A 22566-nucleotide genomic window follows, 5' to 3' on the forward strand; every position below is an offset into this window, starting at 1 on the left:
CATGCAAATTTTATAATTTCAAAATCTCTTGAATGTTGAATGCCTTTCCCTAACACTACATAATAGATTATTATTTTGACTATTCTTATAATCACAGACATATTTTATTTTTCCTATTAGTTTTAGAAAAGTAGAGATATACTTGCTAGAAACATGGAAAATGGCTAAGAATTCCAAGAGAGGTTGTTGGGGAAATGTCTTTAAAAACAGTCTCCTGCCACCTCTGAAAACCTGTTCTGACAGGCATCTCGCTATAAAGATTGCAGACACACAGAAATATTTCTTTTTTATAAAACAAGCAGATAAAACAATTACATGTAAGTTGTGAAGATAAGAAATAACTAGTTTTTGAGCAGACTTGACAGCATCATTAGCTACAAGGTTCATCCTACATTTACATGGTAGTTGGGGTAGCCATCTGTGTTTACTGATTGCTTTAAAATAAGAACTAATTTCTTGTATATTATGACTGGAGGTAGGTTTGTGATTTGTAGCCAAACACCAGCTGAAGTTAGCATCCTACCTCCGAGGAATTTAGGAGATAGGGAAGCATCTTCCTTATGACTACATTTCAAAGTGTTGGCCCCCAGCCCCTTGAAGAAACATTCTTGGGTGTTTATTTAGTCTTTAAAAATGTCTATATACATTTCAGAGAGCTAGAGAAAGTACACACAAGTTTTCTGCAGGAAATGATCAAATAAAAGGTGTTTGTGGAGGGAGAAATCTCTTTCCTTATTTTAATAGGCAGAATTAAGCCACTTATTTTACTGTATTTGTGATTACACAGTCTTCAAGTGCTATTTACAAATCATTCACTTCATTTTTTGGTCTATTTGGTGACCAAAATTTATGTCTTCCACAACTCTACAGGAATATCACAGTTATTAAGATGTTATTAATTCTGAAGTGTTTAAATTTTATATAGAGATTTCAAAAAATATACAAATGGCATGATAGAAAGCATATACACTTCATGTAACAAGGTGTTTATTACCTTAAGAAGTGGTCTTTTTTGGTGACTACACTTATTAAATAAATACTGAGTGCTCTCTATTGTTGAGGCACTGGTCTGGGCACCTGAAATCCCTCTCTCCATAGAACAGGCAAAGAAAACTTGAGTTTATGGAGCTTAAAATGTAGAAGAAGGGTACAGTTAATACTCAATAAGCATTATAGACAGTGATAAAAGGTGCATCCCAAGGGGATATATTTTACCTTGTGTATTACAAGGTGATAAAATCTATGGGATAAAATAGAGTAATATAATGGTTATTGGGAATGTAATAGTGGAGTGGGGTTGCAATTTTAAGTTGTCAGAGTGTGCCTCATTGAGATGAAACTTAAGGAGGTGGATGCTACAATTAATTCATGACTAAATGTTTACATGCTTTCTTCCTTGCAGAAATACAGAAAAGAGAATCAGGCATGTTATCTTCATTTTATCAGCTATAAAGAACAGTAGCCAAGGACCATGTGGATTCAACATGGCAGAATATTTTGATTGGGGGAAGTGGGATGCTAGAACTTGGGGCTTAGGAATGGGGAAGGAAGCAGACTGGGGAGTTTCTGCTCTGTCCAGGAGAAGAGTATCTAGTACACATCAATTATTGAATCTTCGTAGCTTGATTCTCCTCTCTTTCTTGAAGTTTTAGAACCATGACCAAAAGATGCAGATAAGGTGATTAAGTCAACCAGTGGTGTATATTGTTCCAAGTGTTGTCAGGATAATGAGACCTACTCAAAATAAAATGTGGCTCTTCATGGTGTCATAATTAGACTACCTTTTTAGTCTGTGCTGGCAATGTAAGTGTTTTTTTCTTCACTGTAGGTGGCTTTTTTTATGGTAGTTCATCCTCTGGTGACTCAGACAAAAAAAAGCCACTCTTTAGCTTTGAATTTGGTGCTACAGGAGAGGATGAAGACAAGTCCAGAGAACGCTGGGATGCTGGGAATTCAAGGTCAGAAGACAGCCCAGCAGGTACTGTTCCAGAAAAAAATACTTACCTAGCAAACAAGTGCTTTTTGTTTTCATTTTGGATCATCTGATAATCTTTCTTTTGTTTGCAGCACATGGCTTTAATAGTCATAGATACTCTAAAGGCACTGATTTCAAGGCCAATGAGAGTGATAAATTCTGTCTTTAGAGAATGTTGGCAAAGATGTATACATTAAATTAATTGTTCTCCTGATAATTATTTTCATATGTGCTCTTCATACTTGGTACTATTATTCTAATGATGAATTATTTTTCTGACATTTTTACTGTATAAGTTAATAATCAAAAATGCTTCCTGGGCCCAAATGTAGTATAGATTCTGTCCACTCATGTTTCTCTCTGTATCTAACCACAATTGATTTTCTATATCATGATTCTCTATTAAACTAACATATCCAGTTTGTTGAGTGATATGATAAGGAACAGTTCCTAAACAGTTTGTGGCCTGCAATTTTGTTTTTCAGAGGAAAAAATTTAAATTTGTTTAGGTGAGGTGGGGTCCTGCTGGTTCAATACAATTTTTCCTACTGTTCTACTCAAATTTTTGCTGTACTTGCCTGGTCCCTGAAATCTCTATAGTTTGTACCTCTATAAAATGGGAAGGAAGCAGTCCCAGTGAGGAAAATAAGTTCTATATTTTACATTAAACATTAATAGTTTTGTCTCTGAGGTGAAAAGGCAGAAACAGCTTTGGATGTAATATCTTTATGAAGGACACAAAATTTTCTATTTTCCGCTCACCTGTTTTGGGACTGACAAACTCAGTAGGACTAAGGAGACAAGACAGATCCATTTACACTTGTTTACATTAGGTGTTAGTCATTTTCTCATGTTCTGTAGAGCACAATAAGTTTATCGTTGATGGCCCCAAAGTTTCACCTTTCTTATGGAATTATTTCAAATCTCATAGTAAATTGGTTGCCATTCTTACTCCTGATTCTACTACGTAGAATTATATATGGAAAGATATGGAATAAGGGAGATCAAGGAATATATCAGAAACTAAAATGTAGCTCTGCTTCAAGCAGTGTGCAGGGATTAATTTCTTGTATTGTATGAATGAATACAACTTTTCTGTGGTAATGATTGTATTTCTGTATGGCAGATAAAACCAGTTCAGCAGGTGGTACTGTTTGGTGGTACTGCTTCAAATCAAAATTAAATTGGTAGGGGTCCCCGATCAAAATGGATTAGATGTAGGTTCAGTAAATGCATTAGCTGACTCTGACTCTGCTGCCAGGGAAACCAGGTACTCTGTGTTGTTTCTTAGTTTATGCTTTTGTCAGAATAATCAATTAATTAATTGATTTAATTAGCAAAGCAGGAATTGGTGGTGTTTTTGACAAATACAGATTTACTGTTAGAGGAATTAATGAGAAAAATTTGTAAACTCTTTGTCTGGTTCATAAAAAATCTATATTAACTTCAACAGAAATCAGTAATTTAAACAATTTAGTGAAGAGGCAAGTAGGATTGAGACTTCCCAGGAGCTTAGACCTGGGAAGAAGAGTTTCTATCCCCAGTCTTTCACACTAACCTTTGGGAAAACCATTTAACCTCTCTTGTTCCCAAATTTTGTCATCTGGAACAGATAAATCTTGGGCTCTTATGTTTGAATGACATCTACCATGTCAACTTTTAAAATCCCATTACCCATATTTGAACTAGTTTTCTTGAAAAAGAAGGCTGGAGAAAATAAATTTACAAAAGTATGGGTGAATAGCCTTTCATATTCAGAAACTAGAGCCAATGAAGGAAGTGAATGACAAGAATGCATAGTAGCTCTAGGTATTTTTGATTTAGAGCAATTTACCTGAAAAGATGTGAACACTGGTAGAAACAAGAACAAGGAGTTCACTAGTTGTGAATCCATTGACCTTGGTGCTCATGTCAGTGACTCAGGAATTCTGATCCAGAGACTATTAATGTAAAATACAAATAATTCTTATTCTTTCTATATTACTCCCAATAACACTTTAATTTTTCATTAAGCAGAAACATTTTGCCTTTTGATTTTGGAGTTGGTGGTGAAAAGAAGAGTGAATTAGTATTTGGTTTTGGTAATTCTGGCTCAGTTGGTGTCAGTGGTCTTCAACAAAAGGCTTTGGTGAAAATGAAATACAGAGCACTGGAAATCAAGTTCCAGTGATCTGGATATTACTATTCAGGTTTTTGCATCAAAATAAAGAATCATAAGATGTGTTAAAATACTCCCTTGGTGACAATGATTTTTTTCTTTCTTTCTTTCTTTCTTTTGTTTTCAACAGATAGCACCAACACAAGATATGGTGCTGGCTTTAGTAGCAGTGGTGCCTCTCTGGATGTGGGATTTGGTTGGGGGATATCTGATGAAAAGGGATTGGAAGTCAGTAAAGCTGATGGGAGAGAAACTAGAGGCAGTGGATCTGCTGGGGGTGAAACCATAGTCTTTGGACCTGATGCAGGTAGCTCAGGTATTCCAACTAAGACTCAATCCTCAAAATTTTAGATTGATTCAGTTAATTAATTGGTTAAGATGCTTTTATTTTAATGTCACTTAACAACAAGATTAATTAATTAATGTTAACTTTAATCACATTTTGATTTTCCATTAGTTGGAACTGGTTCTTCTGGTTTGAAACTTGGAGCAGGGAAAGGTGATGCTGCATTTGGTTTTGAAGTTTCTGATTCGAATTCATTTGGTGACACTGGCATTAGTAGCAAAACAGTTGAAGGAAATCAAACGAGTAGTTCTGGAGGATCTGTTTCCATTGATCTAGGTATTAATATCTGACTTTTGTGCATAAAAACGTCTGAGTCATAAAATATTTTCAATGCACAGTGACAATTATTTTATATTCTGCAGGTGATACCAGTTTCAGAAGTGAGAATCAATTTGTTGGTGGTGGCTCTCTAAATTCGATATCCAATTTATGGGATTCTGGTCAAGAGGGATTTGGAATCAATGAAATTGGAGGGAATGGAATGAGTGGCAGTGTATCTGCTGAGGCTGGATTCAAAGGTTTTGGATCTGATTCAAGTAGCTCAGGTATTCTAGCCAGTTTTGTTCCCGAGATATCCACCTGAATTCCAAATATTCATTTATTTAAAAATATTTTGATTTTTCTGTTAGTGGGAATGCTTGAGTCTCTTGAATTTGGACTTGGAGGAAAAAAAGTTGGAGCTGGATTTGATTTTAAGTATTCTGGTTCAAGGAAATTTGGTGGTAATGAGCTTAGTGAAAATGGAATAAAAGTTACTAGAGAATCTAGTTCTAGTGATTTAGGTATCGATATTTAATTTCTTTGCATTAAAGTTTGAATCATAAACTTATTGAAATGCATTCTGATGATAACCATTTTATATCATGTAATTGGTACCAGTGCAATAAAAAAGGGATTTTTTGTGTGTGTGACATAGCAGAAAATTTGGGCTTCGGTTTGGAGAAATTTGGTCAAAAGGGATTTGGAACAAGTGGATCTGGTTGGAATGAGCAGAGCAGCAGTAAATCTGATGTCAGTGGCGCAGGTGGTTTAGTCCTGGACTCTGCTCTGGTGAAATTTAAATTGATTTCAACCTTTCACCCATTATTTTATTAACATTTTATTTCTTCACCAGTGGAAAAGTCCTGGTTGTTTGAATTTGGACTTGGAGAAACGAAGGGTGGAGCTGAATTTAACTTTAGAGATTCTGGTTCAAATCAATCTGGTGACAATGGCAATAGTAGTAAAGATTTTGATGGAAATGGAGTAGGTAGTTCTGGAGGCTATAGTGCTAGGTACTAATTGTTAATTTCTGTGCACGAATGATTCTGAATCATAGTAGGCATTGAAAGTAATTCTAGTGACCATAATTTTGTATTCAACAGGTGATTCAAGTGCAAGAAATGGGTTTGAAAATTCTAGTGGTATCTCTGAAGATTCAGGAGTCATATTGGGGTCATCTGATCAACATGAAGTTGAACTCAGTAGAACTGGTGGGAATAGAAAGAGAAGCAGTGACCCTGATGAGGCTGGAAACTTGAGTCCTGGATCTGATGTCAGTGACTCAGGTATCCTAACCTGGACTCTATTTCCAAGAAATTCCAATTAATTTCTTTCTTCTTTATTTCTTTTACTCACATTTTGATTTCCATTAGGAGGAAACACTTGGTCTTCTGATTCTGGAAGTGGTGGAGGAGGTAAGAGTGCAGATGAACTTGGTGTTGGTGCTTCTGGACTAAATGAATTTGGTGAAACTGGCCTTAGTGGTTCAGGTACCTGTGATAATGGAAGCAATGTTACTGGATCTTATTCCTATGGCATAGGTGTTGAGATTTCTGATGATCAGAAAATCAGAATTCTAAGATACATCTTACAATAACAATGAAAATTGGAAACACTATTAATAGTAATTTAAAAGCAAGTCTGCATTCTTGAATGTTGAAATATACTTAGATGTAATCAGGCAAATGATATTTAACATTTGTTGGAGTAAGATGTGGAACCGGTTTCACAGCTGTGAATATATCAATGTGGAATTCTTTTTGTTGCTTTTATGTAAAATTGATTTAGAGTCAGTTGAAGAGATAGTTAAAGTAGCAGCTGAACTGTTGGTCTCAAACTTTGTATCCCAAATCTGGACTTGGCGGCTTTAATTTTCTTTGCAAGCCCATTGCTGAGAAGAGTAAGACTTTCATCCATTTTTAAAATCCTTATAAAATTTAATATTTCCACTTAATGAAAACATTTGATTGTATAGTCTTGGAATTTGTAGTACAAATTGTTAAAATAATATGTATTCTTGATGCAGAAACTGTTTTGATGCTGTTACCAGGGCTGGAATGTCCTGGGAACCACTAAAGTAGGCGACAATAGAACTGGGGGCAGTGGATCACTTCCAGTAAAATGGAGGTTCTGGAAAATATTCAGGATTAATCTTTAGAATTCAACTTCAGGATTAATATCTTTTTCTTAAAAAGTGAAATGTAATGAGCAAGACGTACAGTGTAGTGTAGTAACAGTTGACCTGACACAGGATTGACTATCAATTAACCTGTTCCAAGAAAGGCCTGGCCATACAGAAATAATAATTTTAATTTTGGTCGTTCTTAAACTTTGGACATCAGTTTTGAAGTCAACACTTCCATAGAACTAAGAAATTTGAAGTCATTTATTATTTATTGGCACAGATTTTTTTTAATCACAGTTGGTACAAATGGTTTAAAAGACACCTAATTTAGGAACTCCAAATAGGCTACCATTAGCTCAGGTATTCAAATATAGGTTTTCTTTCTGAGAAATGTATTCAGAATAATTACATCTTATGTTTCTAGTGTGGAGTGGTTACCAATTTGTGGTGTTTTTTTTTTTTTGGCTATTTGGATGTTAGATTTTAACTGCTTTGATTTTTCCACGTGAGATAGACTTTACTAAGTAGTGTTATTTTGGGTAGTGTTCCTAATGGCAGTAAATCTGGTGGCTTTGAAATGGGATGTCTGAATCTCTTGACATTAATGAAGGTGTCAGTTCATTTAGATTAGTGGTTTTCATATTTCTGGTTTCTGTGAGTGCAGAATCTTTTGTTTAATTGACCTCTTGAAATAGTACCCAGGTTTCCTAAAAGTAAAACAATTCAGAATGGGAAACAGTTTGGTTGACACTGGGATAGGAGACCTAGAACCCTGTGTACTGAACTCTTTTCTGTTACCCTTGACAAGTTTTAAGACAAATGATCTAGAAAAAAATTGATTTGGTGTCAGTTAATTTAGAGGCAAGGCATTTAATTTTCTTACCCCAGCAAATTTTTGAGTTGATATTTTTTTTCTTGTACAGCTTTACACAGTCTTAGTCTGCTAGCATTAGCATTGCTGGACTAGGACCTATGGTCTATCCGTCAGATAGTCTTTAAAAATCACTTTACCAAGTAAAATTATACACATAAAATAGCCTGATAATTTGTATTAAAATAGGTGTCACAAGCTCGTCTGAATATAGTACGTCTGGACCACTCAATACTCCAGGTAATCTGATTTATGACTTTGGGTGTTTAAAAGGTACACACATATATATACACTTACAATGTTGTAATGTTCTGCTGATTATTGATTTACTAGGACTTGATATTATTTTTTCTCATATTGAACTCTTAAGTGCTACTTCTCTTTGGATACTAAAGTTTAGATGGCCAACTAAGTATTTGAAACAATTTCATGAAATAGAGAGATTAAACCACATTTTAAGGGAATTCGAATAAAACATATTACAACTCCTTTACTATTTTAGACATAGTATTTTTTAAATGCCCTCATAAATAAATTAGGAGTTCAATATATTTCCACTCAGTCTGAGTAAATACAACCTGTAGTAAAGAGAAGAAGCTTCAAGATAGGTGATAAAGAGTATTTTGGAAAAGATTTTACAATTCTATCAGAACATCTACTTTTGTTATTGTTGTTGTTGCTTGCTTTTAGGCAATATAAATTTATTTGTTACAAAAAAGGGTCATTAGATATAAACAATCATGGGAAATGTAAAGTTTTAAAGTATACAGATTTTGCCCTGTGAGTGGGAGAATTGAATTTTCCTTATAGATAATTAAATTATTAGTATTAGATAATAGACTGATTTACTAAAATGTACCTCGGTCCTATTTGTGTCATGGCTCCTGATAAAAATAAGCATGCAATGTTTTATTTCTAAAGTTGAAAAATATTTCTTTAAGGGGTGCAGCATATGTTAGTAATTGTACAGGACCGCAAATGCATAAGCTCTTAATGATTCGTGAACATACTGAAAAAGTGTAGACTGTAGAGTTAATCATGTATGTGACTTTGGCAAGTCCCAGCTCTCACAAAGTTATCTATTATATGTGTCATATAATATACAGAATAAAAAATTCATTGATGGCCTTCAATGCCCACTTTTAAGTTCCCATGTAGAAGTTCCAATATCTTGTATATTTAAAATGAATATATGTCTTAACATTGAAATAATCTGTGCATTGTGTTGAATAGAAAAAGGATCCCACATTCCAGAAGCAACTCCAAAATACTCAGAAACAAATGCAATTATTGGTAAGTAAAAATGGTTGTGATATTCATTCATATATTTATGCCCAAGCCAGTACCTAATGAGGTCACAGAATCAAATTTACAAAATTTGAAACTCGTTTTATTTATTTATTTATTTACAAGGTCTCATTCTGTCATCCAGGCTGGAGTGCAATGGTGAAATCATAGCTCACCATAACCTCTGACTCCTGGGCATGAATCCTCGTGCCTTAGCCTCCTGGGTAGCTGAGACTATAGGAAGGCACCACCATGCCTGGATATTCCTTTTTCTTGGTAGAGGCAGAGTCTTGCTATGTTGCCCAGTCAGACTTGAACTTCTGGCCTCGAATGATCCTCCCACCTCAGCTTTCCAAAATGCTGAAATGACGGGCATGAGCCGCTGTGCCCAGCCTGAAACTAGTTTTTAAAATGTCCCCATCATCTGTCTGTTTAATCGTTGTATGTTTGAGTGATATCGCATTTGTACTATTTTTTCTCCAAAAAAACATGTATACACACACACATATATACATACATCTATACACATTCATATATACACACATTTATATGTATAGAGATAAATGACATAATTCTTTACCTTCATTCAATATAAATGGGACTTCATTCAGACTTAGAAAAACTATCTCTACAAAAAAAGCAAAGCAAGAAAGCATACAAACCACCACTTCCCTCCATATATTCCTTCCCATATTAGAGACAATTTTTGTTTTCCTATGGGAAGCAAGATGTTTTAAATCTTGCTTTATTTTAGCCAGAATAGCCAACTTAGGGTATGCTAAAGAAGTACTCATGTACTAGTTTTAGTGAGTCTTTGCAGTAGTGAAAGAAAGAAAGCACTGATTTAAGGTGGTGGCTGTGAGAATTGAACCTGTCAGTGATTTTATTTCTCTTAGGACAAAAACACTTTAAAACAGACCTAGAAGGTATGCTAATTGTTCTAAATAATTATGTACACGTTCCTCTGAATATTTTATAGGTGAAATATCTACCTGGAGCAAAGGAGCATATAAATCTTTCAACGGCCGCATCTTTTTCTTTGAATCTTCATGCCCATACACTTTCTGCCGTCACTGCATTGAATCTGGAGGGGATTTCAATATTGAGATCAAACGAAACAATGATAGTGAGATTGAAAAAATAACAGTTCTAATTGACAATAACGACGTCTCTATTTTTGGTGACACCATTTTAGTTAATGGAGAAAGGTAAATAACGTAGTGTTTTGGGTAAATGATATAAAATTATTTGAAGTAACCTGAGCAAAAAAGGAAAAAAAAAAGAAAAAGATAAAAAGGGAGATGATACTTTCTTCCTATTTTGATGCTCTTATCGATATTTATAATTGATCATTGGCCAAGAGTTTGATAAATGTGTAAGACTTTGACCTATTTCGGATTGTAAGACATTATATTTATTCCTGTAACAAGAAGGAAAAAAATTCTGTTGTTTGAGTATACTGACTATCTAGATTATGGGAAACGTGTATTCAACAAAACTGAATATTTTTGTTGAACATCTCAGGACATTTCAGTTTTCATTTGCAAGTTTAACGCCAAGTATAAATTTAAGATTTTATAAGTTAGAAATTGAGGAGATTAAAACTCTTAGTCCATAATTTTTAGAGGGAGCAATTCAGATTTGGAAGGGATGGCATATTTGAATACTTTCCAGGATAAGAAAATGAGGCATGATATTCTACTTGTGAACATTTCAAGTTATTTTTTTCTGACACCAAACCAATGTTTCATCCTGTTAATTTCTCCAAAGCCCCAAGGATCTATTAGTTGTTTTTTAGAAGTTCTTCCAATATTCAAAAAAGCCATTGTTTCTCTTTTTCTGAATTGATAAAAAAAACTTCAATATTTACCAGCAAGTATAAGATACTAAATTGTTGGGTGACATGAATTATCAGAAAACATATTATAATAGCATGATTCTTACCTTTTTACATATACTTGTATTTTATATTTTTCACTGTACAGATACCATATAACAATAAGTTGATTCACATAAAAAAATATGGAGAACATAATGTTCTGAATAGCCGTAGAGGAATCCTGACTTTAATGTGGGACAAAAATAACAAACTCTCGGTAAGTCTATCTATGATTTTCTTATAATCCTGTGCTTTTTGTCCTTTAGTTAAGTTACAAAAACAATACATTATTAGGGAAGTAAGAGCTAAGGCTTATTGAGAAATCTCTATGTATTAGTCACTATACTAAACATTATCTCATTTAATATTCAAAATATCTTAAAATACTATTAATAATATTTTGCAAATGATGAAACTCAGGAAATGCAGAGTAAGAAAGTTATTAGGCTGGTGCGAAAGTAATTGCAGTTTTGACCATTACTTTTAAATGGCAAATACTGCAATTACTTTTGTACCAAATAATTTTTTCAAAGACACATAGTTAGTAAATGGTGGCCTCAGGACCTATTCAAATTCCAGAGCCAGGTCCTTAAGAAAAAGCCCTCTAACATCTCTAAGTAACCAGCTTAGATAGAATTGTATTTGAGGAGGCGTGGCCCTTTGGTTTGGGTACATTTTGTTTTGAGATATGTTTAACATTTCATGAACATATACATGTAATTTATTTTTAAAGCTCACTCTTCACAAGCAGTATCCAACTTGTGGTCTTTGTGGTAACTTCAACAGCACTCCAGGTAACATTCCAATGTATCATTCCTAAGAACTTGCTTTCCAAAATAAAGCTAAAAACTAAAATAATTTTTCAATTTTCTTTTGTCTAAAGAATGAGAACTCATTAAAATGAAAAAAAAATTTACATTGCCAAGTTCATATGTAGCTTGAAAATAATGCACACATAAAAAGAATAACTTAAACTAAACAATGCTTTCTTTTTAAGGGCAAGATATTAATGAGCACATTGCCAATAGTAAAATTCCTGGTGATTGTCCCAATGCTGTTGGTAAAAGCTATGAAGTTTGTGAAGATGGAATACAGGTAAGAAATTTATATTTCCTTGTGTAGCAAATTCTAGCAATAGTTCCCTTGGTTTCTTTTTTAAAATAAATGTTATTGTGTATATTTAAGATAGACAACATGTATATATGTTTGTCTGGTATGTGATACACATGGATAGTAAAAAATTTACTACAGGGAAGCAAATTAACATATCCATCATCTCATCTGAAAGATACTTCAACTTTTTTTTGTTTGTTTGTTTCTGTGGTAAGAGCAGCTGAAATCTGCTCATTTAGCATGAATCCCAGATACAGTACAATTTTATTACTTACAGTCTTCAGATTGTACATTAGATCTCAAGACTCCCCCAGCCCCTGTAACCACTGTTTTGTTCTCTATTTCTCCAGACTTAATTTTTTAAAAAAGATTACACATGTAGGTGTTGCACATCTTTATGTGTAAAAAGATTACACATAAAGATGTTGCATGATCATCTTCCTGTTTCTGGCTTATTTCACTAGTATAATGTCATCCATGCTCATCCATGTTATGCCAAATGGCAAGATCTTGTTCTTTTTTAGGGCTGAATAATATTCCATTGTGCATATATGAGCCACAGTTTCTTTATCCATTTGTTTATTTGTGAACATTTAGGTTGTTTCCATATGTTAGTTATTATGATTAATGCTGCAATGAACACAGGAGTGCAAATATCTTTACAAGGTGGTATTTCATTTCCTTTGGGTATATGCCCAAAAGAAGGATTGCTGGGTCATATATTAGTTCCTTTTTTTTTTTTTTTTTTTTTTTGTGACAGGGTCTCACTCTGTCACCCAGGCTGGAGTGCAGTGGCATGATCTCTGCTTACTGCAACATTTGCCTTCCTGGTTCAAGGGATTCTCCTGCCTCAGCCTCCCGAGTAGCTAAGGTTACAGGCACATGCCACTAGGCCTGGCTAATTTTTGTATTTTTTGTAGAGATGGGGTTTCACCATGTTGGCCAGGCTGGTCTCAAACTCCTGACCTCTAGTGATCCGCCCGCCTTGGCTTTCCAAAGGTCTGGGATTATAGGCGTGAGCCACTGCGCCCGGCGGGTAGTTCTATTTTTAATCTCTTTAGAAATCTCCATCATGTTTTTCATAATGGCTGTACCAATCTACATTTCCACCAACAGTGTATAAGACTTGCCTTTTCTCCACACTCTTGCCAGCTCTGTTATCTTTTAACTTTTTGATAATAGCCATCCTAGCAGGTGTGAGGTGGTATCTCTTGGTGATTTTGAGCTGCATTTCCCTGATGATTAATGATGTTGAGGACCTTTCATATACCTGTTGGCCATTTGTATGTCTTCTTTTGAGAAATGTCTATTTAAGTCTTTTGCCCATTTTTAATTGGTTTATTTCTTTTTCCACTTTTGAGTTTTATATGTTCTTTATAAATTTTGGATATTAACCCTTAATCAGATATATGGTTTACAATTTCACCTCCAATTTTTAGGCTATGCTTTAATTTTGTTAATTGTTTCATTGCTATGCAGAAGCACCATTTGATGCAGTCCCACTTGTTTATTTTTGCTTTTGTGGCCTGAGCTTTTGGTGTGATATCCAAAGCATCACTACCAAGGCCAATGTGCAGGACCTTTTCTCCTGTGTTACTTTTGAGATTTTATATTTTCTGGCCTTAAATTTAGGTCTTTGATTAATTTTGAATTGATTTTTGTGTATGGTATAATATATGGGTTTAATTTTATTCTTTTGCATGTGGAAAACCAGTTTTTCTAGCACCGTTTAGTGAAGAATCCATCCTATCCACCATTGTGTCTTCTTGGTGCCTTTGTCAAAGATTGTTGGCAGTGTATGTTTGGATTTATTTCTGGGCTCTCTCTTCTGTTCCACTGGTCTGTGTGTCTGTATTTATGCCATTATTATGCTGTTTTTATTACCATGGCTTTGTAGCCCTTGGTTCCAATTTAAGCCCTTGGTTCCATATTCTCCTAAGCACTCATATCTTCTTCTTAGAATTCTGTAACTAATTCCTCTCCAATGTTCCTATTTTCTGTTTTTCAGCTTTAGTCTAGCTGTATGTGCCAAAATAATTTCCCTCCCAAACACTATGATATTTACCATATATTAGTGTAACAATTATAATTTCCTTTGCATAGTGTTTTAGTTTGTCTTTATGGAAACTGACATGCTTCACCTTTGCGCTGTCATCTCTTGATGGGTACTGTCTTTGATTCCTCTCTTACAGTTTTGAAATCCATTATGTTCCACTCCCTTACTTTCGCCCCAGATAGCCAGTCTGAATTGTCATCCCTCATATATTTTACTTTCTTTTTAAGAAAGTTACAGATAATATTTTTGACAACAGCATTTGCAAATAGTTATCATTTACTCTGTGAATTTTCTGCACTTCTGTAATGCTATTATGTTGAATTTGATAGACTGCATCCATTTGGTGACTGAATGAATGTTCACACATTCCTATTGCAACTAGAATAGAATTCTCAAGATCAAGAAATGTGTGGCTAGTATTGATAAAAATATTTTTGTTTTATTGAAAGAGGGTGTTGCAATTATAGCCATCCAGTCATCTTACAGCAAAAAAAAATTACACAGTGGCATTATACAAGATCATCTGGCATCTTCGTTGTGAAATCTTACTTGATCTTTGCAGTTGGAATTGGTTTCTCTTTCTTTTTTTTTTACCTTATGGCTCTCATTGGTACTTATAATAAGATACCATCTATAAAAATTGCCCAAGTTTTTCTCATATGTTCCCCATAAAATTAGAAGTTCCATGATAATAGGGATTATACATTGCGGTAGTTGCATAATACGTTGAAAACTTATTCCTTGCTGCTCAAAAGTGTTAGTTAAATGATTACATCAATTTACATTCAAACCAATGTATATTTACTAAGGACCAACTTATGTACAAGATATTCAACTTATGTACAAGATATTGTGTTTAGCCCAGAGCATAAAAATTCATATTTCTTACTCTACAGAAATCTATAATCTAGTGAGAAAAATGTACAAAAAATAAATAGGTGAAGAGTAATATTTGAAGATTTTGTTTCACTTAATTTTATACCTCATTTGGAGAATGTTATCAGCCTGCCTCCAGCCTAGTTGGTACAAATTGTACGTTCGGGCCGGGTGAGGTGACTTATGCCTGTAATCCCAGGACTTTGGGAGGCCAAGGCGGGTGAATCACGAGGTCAGGAGTTCAAGACCAGCCTGGCCAACATGGTGAAACCCCGTCTCTACTGAAAACACAAAAAATTAGCTGGGCGTGGTGGTGGGCAACTGTAATCCCAGCTACTCGGGAGGCTGAGGCAGGAGAATTGCTAGAACTGGGAGGTGGAGGTTGCAGTGAGCCGAGATCACGCCACTGCCCTCCAGCCTGGGAGACAGTGCGAGACTCTGTCTCAAAAATAATAATAATTAAAAAAATTGTACATTTGTTCGACAGTAGCTTTTTTGTTTCTCTAAAAACAAACAAATTATTACAATAGAAAACAGCTATATGGTGGTTGAACTATGTTGAAATTAGAACTTTTTTCATTCAATAATATATGTCATTACTTCTTTTACTGAAACAGAACAAATATGTTGTTCCCAGAGCAAATACCCATGACTCCGACTAAGAAAGGACAGAGTCACTTTATTTTATGGTCATCTGTTTGATTATAAAATATGAGGAGATTAACAGTTAAAGGGACAATATCCCTTCTGTCTATTATGGTATTCTATCAAGTACCATCCCAATCTTTGGCATTAATCAATCTCTCTTCTCACCGCTTCCATTTTCTCTAGCTCTAAAATTCATGTCACCTTTAAAGATGGTTTGGATAAGCTGAAGTACAATAAATTTTGAAGTCATTACATAGCAATCCAAGATGCCAAGTTTCCAGAAGTATTCTCTTAGGAGTCACTTTACCAGCTATAATACTTCAAAAACCTCCATTTCAATGAACATCGTTATACAACAATCCAAAATGCCAAGAATCCAACAGTATTCATTTAGGAGTCATGTTACCAACCATAATACTTCAAAAACCTCTATTTCAAACAGCATCCAAGCACTTTCCTTGTCAAAGCTACAGGATATAATGCAAAACAAAAACAAAAAACTTCTGTATTTATCCTTTAAACGATTCCTTATTGCCCATTATCCTTATTGCCCATTTTTCTTATTTTTATTGCCCGTTTTAATAAAATAACATGCTTTATTTTGTAGCACTGTAACAAAATTATTGGAACCTACTTTGAGAAATGTGGAAAGGTTGCTGCTCTATCCAATGACTACAAAATGATCTGCATTGATGAATACTGCCAAACTAGAGACAAAACATCTACATGTGACACTTATTCAGAACTGTCCCGCCTCTGTGCCTCAGATGGTCCTGGCACCTTTGAATCCTGGCGAAGCGACTCCGATGTGGTTTGTGGTAGGTTTTTACCTTCATTGTAGTTACAGCTCTGTAAGTTTCTACAGTATTTTTTTTCTTATTTTTTAAAATTATACTTTCAGTTCTAGGGTACATGTGCACAACATGCAGGTTTGATACATAGGTATACAGTACTTTGAAGTTAAGCTCCATTGCAATGTAATCTCAAATGATTCTAAGCCCTGGAAGGGGATCCTAGAGATGATGAAGTCTCATTTGTCACATGTACTTACAAGGAAACAGGTTCGTTTAGGTGATGTGACTCACCTCAAATTGCAGTGCTTTGTGTTAAGATCTAATTTAAAATGTTGTACTCATTACAATCAAAAAAAGTCACTGAAAACCACAAGTAAATTCTGTAAAAAATAACTGGACAATTTATCAAATGTATACTGATTAGTGCTATCATTTTCTTTCAAAAAGATTAATAAAGTGTAAATACGAGCTTCATATACAAACATACTTTCCACATATGCTTAAGTCAATCCTCATAATACAAGCAGAATATAAATTTCAACTTACGATGAAATGAAATTACAGAAAATATATATTTCCTGTAAATTAGATATTGTATCATAAAATAATGCACAGGAAATTGGCATAATTTAGTTGTACTGAGTATCTTTAAAGGCTGACTTCTACCTTGTAACTCAGACTCAAAGAATTCCATTTGAAAAGCTCCTCCTTAGAAGAGTGTGTATTTATTACATTAGTTTCCTCTAATATCCGTGTACACATATTTTTATATTTCTCCAGGAACACAAAGATGTCCAGAACAACATATCTACAAAGAATGTGGACCCTCCAACCCTGCAACTTGTTCTAATGTGGCTCCTTTTCAAGACAGTGAATGTGTGAGCGGCTGCACCTGCCCAGAAGGTAGTACACCAATGAGAGTATTTACACTAAAACAAAACAAAAGCTAAAAACAAAGTGGAACTCAAGTCATGTCAGAGTGGTGTCTTATTTATAGCATGACATTCCAACAATTTAACTACTTCTAATATATCCTCTTAGCAAACTGCAGAGGAGGGTTAGAGAGAATTTTAAAGCTAATGTGTATTTCCATCTCTACAATACCTGAGGGCTTCTGTATTCCACAGAATATGTTTTAGTCCCACATTGAGTGCAATAGGACTGTGCACTGTGTAGCAGTAACTCAAACTCAGAAAATTGTTTTCTATACTCTTGCCAGTTTTCAAATTAGGAGTAATTGCTTTAACAAGAAATTATCATTTTCAGTGCATGTTACGCTCGAAAGAACTATCTCAAGAGTAATTTCACAACACACTGCTGAACAATTTACTGATGTTTGTAGAGTTTTGTGGTTAGCCTTATATGATGTGTTCTAGGTTATCTGTTGGATGACATTGGAGAGAAAGGAAAATGTGTATTAAAAGCTGAATGTCCCTGTGAATCCAGTGGAACAGTGTATCAGCCAGGAGAAGTCCGAGAAGGTCCTTGTGGTTCTCAGTGGTATGTGTGTGCTTTTTGTTCACATATTACTGATGGTAAAATAATACCAATATTTTTATATAATTTGAAAAAATTCCTAAATGCACCCTTAAAATAAACTTTTAAGAAATAAAAAGCAATCTCACTGCATTTTCTGTGTTGTTGATGTTTTGTTTTTAGACTCAGTGTGTTTTTTATTATAAAATATATGATCTTTCTTGGTGCCTTTAAAAGATAATATTCACTAACAGAAACAGTGTTTTCAATAGTAAACCACTTGGCAGTTGCAAATATAGAACAAAGTATAGTATAAGATTTTGGTTATAATAATGAAACAATAATGATGCTAATTCTGCCAAGAATATTTAATAAAACATACAGTTAGAAAGAGCCAAATACTTTTCAAATAGTTTTTATATGTGGCTAGATTGGTGAAGATGAATAATATATCTATTCATCAGTAAATTTTAATGTACCAAAAGTTATTGTAGATGATTTCACTATTAACTGAATACCCAGCTTGGGTCTTCCTTCTGAGTTCCACAACAATATAATGACCATTGAGATTTCCCCAGTCTTCATTATGGCTTTTCTCTGAAGCTCTAAATTTCTGCAATACTACAAAATACTTTTCCTGAAATGTATTGTGTCTTTCTGGGGACATAATTTGGCTTAATAAAAAAATCTATTTTCTCTATAAATGGAAAATGTTTTATTTTGGTGATAATAATCAATATTAATTTATATTATATGTATATTAATAATTAATTTTAATTTGTATGAAGAATTATAAATAATAGTAGCTATAATTTATTAAATGTCTATAAGAGCACTGTTCAAGAGAAATATAATGTAGGCTACAAAAATGATCCACATATATCATTTAACAGTTTTTAGTTGACAAATTTTTAAAAGACATGAAGAAACAGGTGAAATTAGTTTTAGTCGTGTATTTTATACAACCCAATATATCTAGAATACTATTATTTACACATAAAATTAATATGAAATCAAGTTAATGAGAGATTTTACAATTTTTTTTTCCTCCTTAAGTCTTCAAAATCTGTATGTCTTTTACATTTATAGTGGGTCTCAATTTAGATGAGACACATTTCAAAAGCTTGCTCGATGTATTGTGTGGTGCAATTCTACAATGTGGCTTGTGGCAGGTATTTTAATACTGATAATGAACCGTATTCCATTTTAAAAAATCTCTGAAATCCAGCTTGTAAGTTTCATATGCTTAATTCATGAGAAGTTATCATTATAGTCAGGGCTTCTAAAATATCAGGCTACCACCATCAATGAGACATTTTATCAGAGCTGAGACGTTGGGTGGGAAACAAAGATGGTCTAATAAAGCTTAACCAAATGTCTTAACTTGTGATGATTTTTTAGTGTGATATTTTATTTTCACCATAGAGAAAATACAATTGATAACCCTCAATATAACCATTACATTTTAATAGCACATGCCAAGATGCAAAGTGGTCTTGCACCGAAGCATTATGCCCTGGAAGATGTAAGGTGGAAGGAAGTTCCCTTACCACCTTTGATGGTGTTAAGTACAACTTTCCTGGAAACTGCCACTTCCTGGCCGTTCACGTATGTAATAGCCTGCAATATTTGAGCAAACTGATATACAAACAAAGCTATTCCTCAACCAATTTAGAACACAATCTTCACCTTGAATTAGTATTTAAAGAAATAAAAAGTGAACAATCCTTCAGTTACTGGCTATGTATTTCAGTATGCTTTCTATCACATACTGGCACTGATGGTATTACCTGTCAGTATTAAATTAACACTACCTGTCCTCCTTGGAAATTCCTTGCAAAAAAACAACCTAACAAATAGAACGCTCTTCATTCACTCATAATCATCTAAATACACAGGGAATTTATTTCATTTTTCTGCTTTTCTTTGTGTGTGCTCACTGTTCACTACTGCTTCAAATAAAATAATCTTTTTTTTTTTTTTTGAGATGGAGTCTCACTCTTTCACCCAGGCTGGAGTGCAGTGGCATGATCTCGGCTCACTGCAAGCTCCGCCTCCTGGGTTCACGCCATTCTCCCACCTCAGCCTCCCAAGTAGCTGGGACTACAGGTGCCCGCCACCACGCCCGGCTAATTTTTTGTATTTTTAGTAGAGACGGGGTTTCACCATTTAAAGGATGTTCTCGACCTCCTGACCTCGTGATCTGCCCTCCTTGGCCTCCCAAAGTGCTGGGATTACAGGCGTGAGCCACCACACCCAGTCAAAATAATCTTTTACATTCCGTGAAGCATCTTTCACTTCCATTATTATTCCCTTAAATTTATTTTTAGTTTTTATAATATAATAATAACACTAAGATAGAGGCTATTCTTACATTTAGATTCTTCTCAGTACGAAAATTTTAAGTCATTTGAATTTCAATGAAAGAGTGATTCCATTTTGTATTTTGTGCTACAGAGGATTAGCAATCTAGTCTACCTGAGAATTAGCGATTTTATATAATCTGTCTGGTAAGAAATGAACAGAATTTATGAATCCTGAACTGAGAAATGTTGTTTAATGTCCTATAAGCTACAAAATGTAGTTGCTGCTACTAAAAGTCACTCTTCCAAAATAAAGCTTCTTGGTTGCCTACCAACATAATCTGCCTTTCCTTCTTTTTTTTTTTTTTTTTTTTTTAATTTGAGATGGAGTTTCACTCTTGTCACCCGGGCTGGAGTGCAATGGCTTGATCTTAGCTCACTGTAACCTCTGCCTCCTGGGTTCAAGCGATTCTCCTGCCTCAGCCTCCCGAGTAGCTGGGATTACAGGCGTCCGCCACCACGCCTGGCTAATTTTTGTATTTTTAGTAGAAACGGGGTTTCACCGTATTGGCCAGGCTGGTCTCGAACTCCTGACCTCAGGTGATCCTCCCACCTTGGCCTCCTAAAGTGTTGGGATTACAGGCTTGAGCCACTGTGCCAGGCCTGCCATTCCTTCTTTTTATGCTCCTCTAAATCCATTAGGATACAGGATGGGGAAAGTAAGAGGGAAAAATGACAAAGCGTAGGGAACATTTGCTTCTTATAGATTACAGATTTCCAGACATTGAAATGAGATCTGGAAGTCCATGTTTGATATGACTTATATTACAGTTTAACAAATTAAATACCTCCCACATTGGATTTAAATAGACATTGTGAACTGTCCAGAGAAGAGAGGCAAACTATGTTACTGCTAATTCCTAAGAGTCCTTATGTGGCAGCACATTCCCTTTGGGAAGACAAAAAGTAAAAATAAAATTAAAAAATGATGACTGTGAAAATTCATCAATGGTAAACTACACGGATATAGTTTATGCAAGATACTTGGACCATCTATAAAGCTCTTGGCCAGTCCTGAGGCTGTACTATGGGCTGAACTAGGTTTCTATTCTCAGAGCACTCTGATTGTAGTAGGAATTGTACATATTTAAAATTCAAACTTTCATTTGGAATGAATTACCTAGTAATAGCATACCATAAATAGAATTAAATGACATTCTAATAAACATTTTAATGAAATTCATTTTTTACAGAATGAAGATTGGTCTATTAGTGTTGAGCTCCGTCCGTGCCCAAGTGGTCAGACAGGAACGTGCTTAAATAGCGTTACACTTCTCTTGAATTCTGTAAGTAATAAGCTTCCTAAGCCTTATTCAGAGTCAAATCATATCACTTATTTTATAAATTCAGGATTTCTGAGGTTGAAGAAGAGAAGTTTTACTATGTATAATCAAAGCTTAAGTAAAATTGCATAGAAAATTGATGAAGTCTCTGGAAGTGCCGGCTAGTTGCAAAGGTCTTGAAGTATATCAAAATTACTCTACGTATACAATTAATATGTTGATTATGGATCAAATTTATGTGTTCATTGAAGTGTTAAACTTTGCGGACCATTTATGAAGGAAGGCAATGGCATTAGTTTAGAGTTTTATTTATTTGGAGTTGACATTATAAGTGGAAATAGACCTAAATGGGAAGGGAAGACGAGTAGTTTGGACTTTGGCCTTTACAAGCTGTTTAACCTTTGGATACCCAAGTTACTGTCTTAGGTTTCCATTTCTGCATCCACACGTTGGGGATGAAGATTTATTTACAATCTGCTACACAGAGTTGGTATGAGAAACAAGGAAGCAAAGTGTGCCTTAAAAATGCTTTTAAAATGTCTATATTTTAGATATTTATTAATTAATCCAATAGCATTAAACATGACATAAAAATTTGGGTTCATATATTACATTAAAATTAATACTGTAAATTAATATTAACAAAGTGTTTTAAATATTAGTCTGTTCCAGTTGACAAATACGTATTCAACAGTGATGGAACAGTCACAAATGACAAGATTAGAAATCAAGGTTATTACTATTCAGGTAAGTTTAATGACAACATTTTAAAATAAGTGTAAGATGCAGTCATTTATTCAATTTCTAAAGCTATTACGTTTCTGACTTTTAACAGATATCAAAATGTTAAAGTATTTTAAGAAAGTAAAAACTGTTGAACATGTTATTAATGTTCATAATTATTTTAACAGATAAAATACAGATATTCAATGCATCTTCCTCATACCTTCAAGTAGAAACATACTTTCATGTGAAACTACAAATACAAATTGTTCCTGTGATGCAATTGTATGTTTCTATGCCACCCAACCAATTCACAGACACTGTGGGTAAGT

The 22566-nt window shown here is 34.4% G+C and overlaps 1 protein-coding gene and 1 long non-coding RNA gene across 6 annotated transcripts in view, besides 1 other annotated feature; one reads left to right on the forward strand and one right to left on the reverse strand.

Moving 5' to 3' along the window:
* The window catches only part of LOC105369736 (uncharacterized), an 89145-nt gene that overhangs the window by 55453 nt on the left and 11126 nt on the right, over positions 1-22566 (reverse strand). For all 5 annotated transcript variants that reach the window (XR_944868.3, XR_944869.3, XR_007063562.1 and 2 more), the window contains exons 2-3: positions 10016-10107; positions 6097-6234 (exon numbers count right to left, since the gene is read on the reverse strand). This is a non-coding gene — a long non-coding RNA (uncharacterized LOC105369736). The remainder of the gene's footprint in view (positions 1-6096; positions 6235-10015; positions 10108-22566) is intronic.
* Positions 1-22566, forward strand: part of MUC19 (mucin 19, oligomeric (gene/pseudogene)) — a gene marked incomplete in the record, with an annotated part of 177364 nt that overhangs the window by 16811 nt on the left and 137987 nt on the right. The window contains 19 exon segments of the mRNA NM_173600.2: positions 1829-1978; positions 4264-4449; positions 4591-4755; positions 4842-5024; positions 5844-6026; positions 6114-6155; positions 7926-7976; positions 8970-9029; positions 10003-10231; positions 11002-11119; positions 11636-11696; positions 11900-11997; positions 16203-16413; positions 17170-17292; positions 17766-17889; positions 19338-19473; positions 21422-21514; positions 22174-22258; positions 22423-22560. Coding sequence (NP_775871.2) covers positions 1829-1978; positions 4264-4449; positions 4591-4755; positions 4842-5024; positions 5844-6026; positions 6114-6155; positions 7926-7976; positions 8970-9029; positions 10003-10231; positions 11002-11119; positions 11636-11696; positions 11900-11997; positions 16203-16413; positions 17170-17292; positions 17766-17889; positions 19338-19473; positions 21422-21514; positions 22174-22258; positions 22423-22560 — 2436 coding nt within the window.
* Positions 8547-8716: an enhancer, noted in NCBI's record as "experimental_28494 CRE fragment used in MPRA reporter constructs". NCBI's record gives its function as "activates a minimal promoter by MPRAs in K562 erythroleukemia cells, with activity observed for both the introgressed and non-introgressed 12:40812638 variant alleles {active_cell/tissue: K562}" and the evidence as "EXISTENCE:reporter gene assay evidence [ECO:0000049][PMID:34662402]".

Source organism: Homo sapiens, chromosome 12 (assembly GCF_000001405.40).
Source record: "Homo sapiens chromosome 12, GRCh38.p14 Primary Assembly".
NCBI lineage: Eukaryota > Metazoa > Chordata > Mammalia > Primates > Hominidae > Homo > Homo sapiens.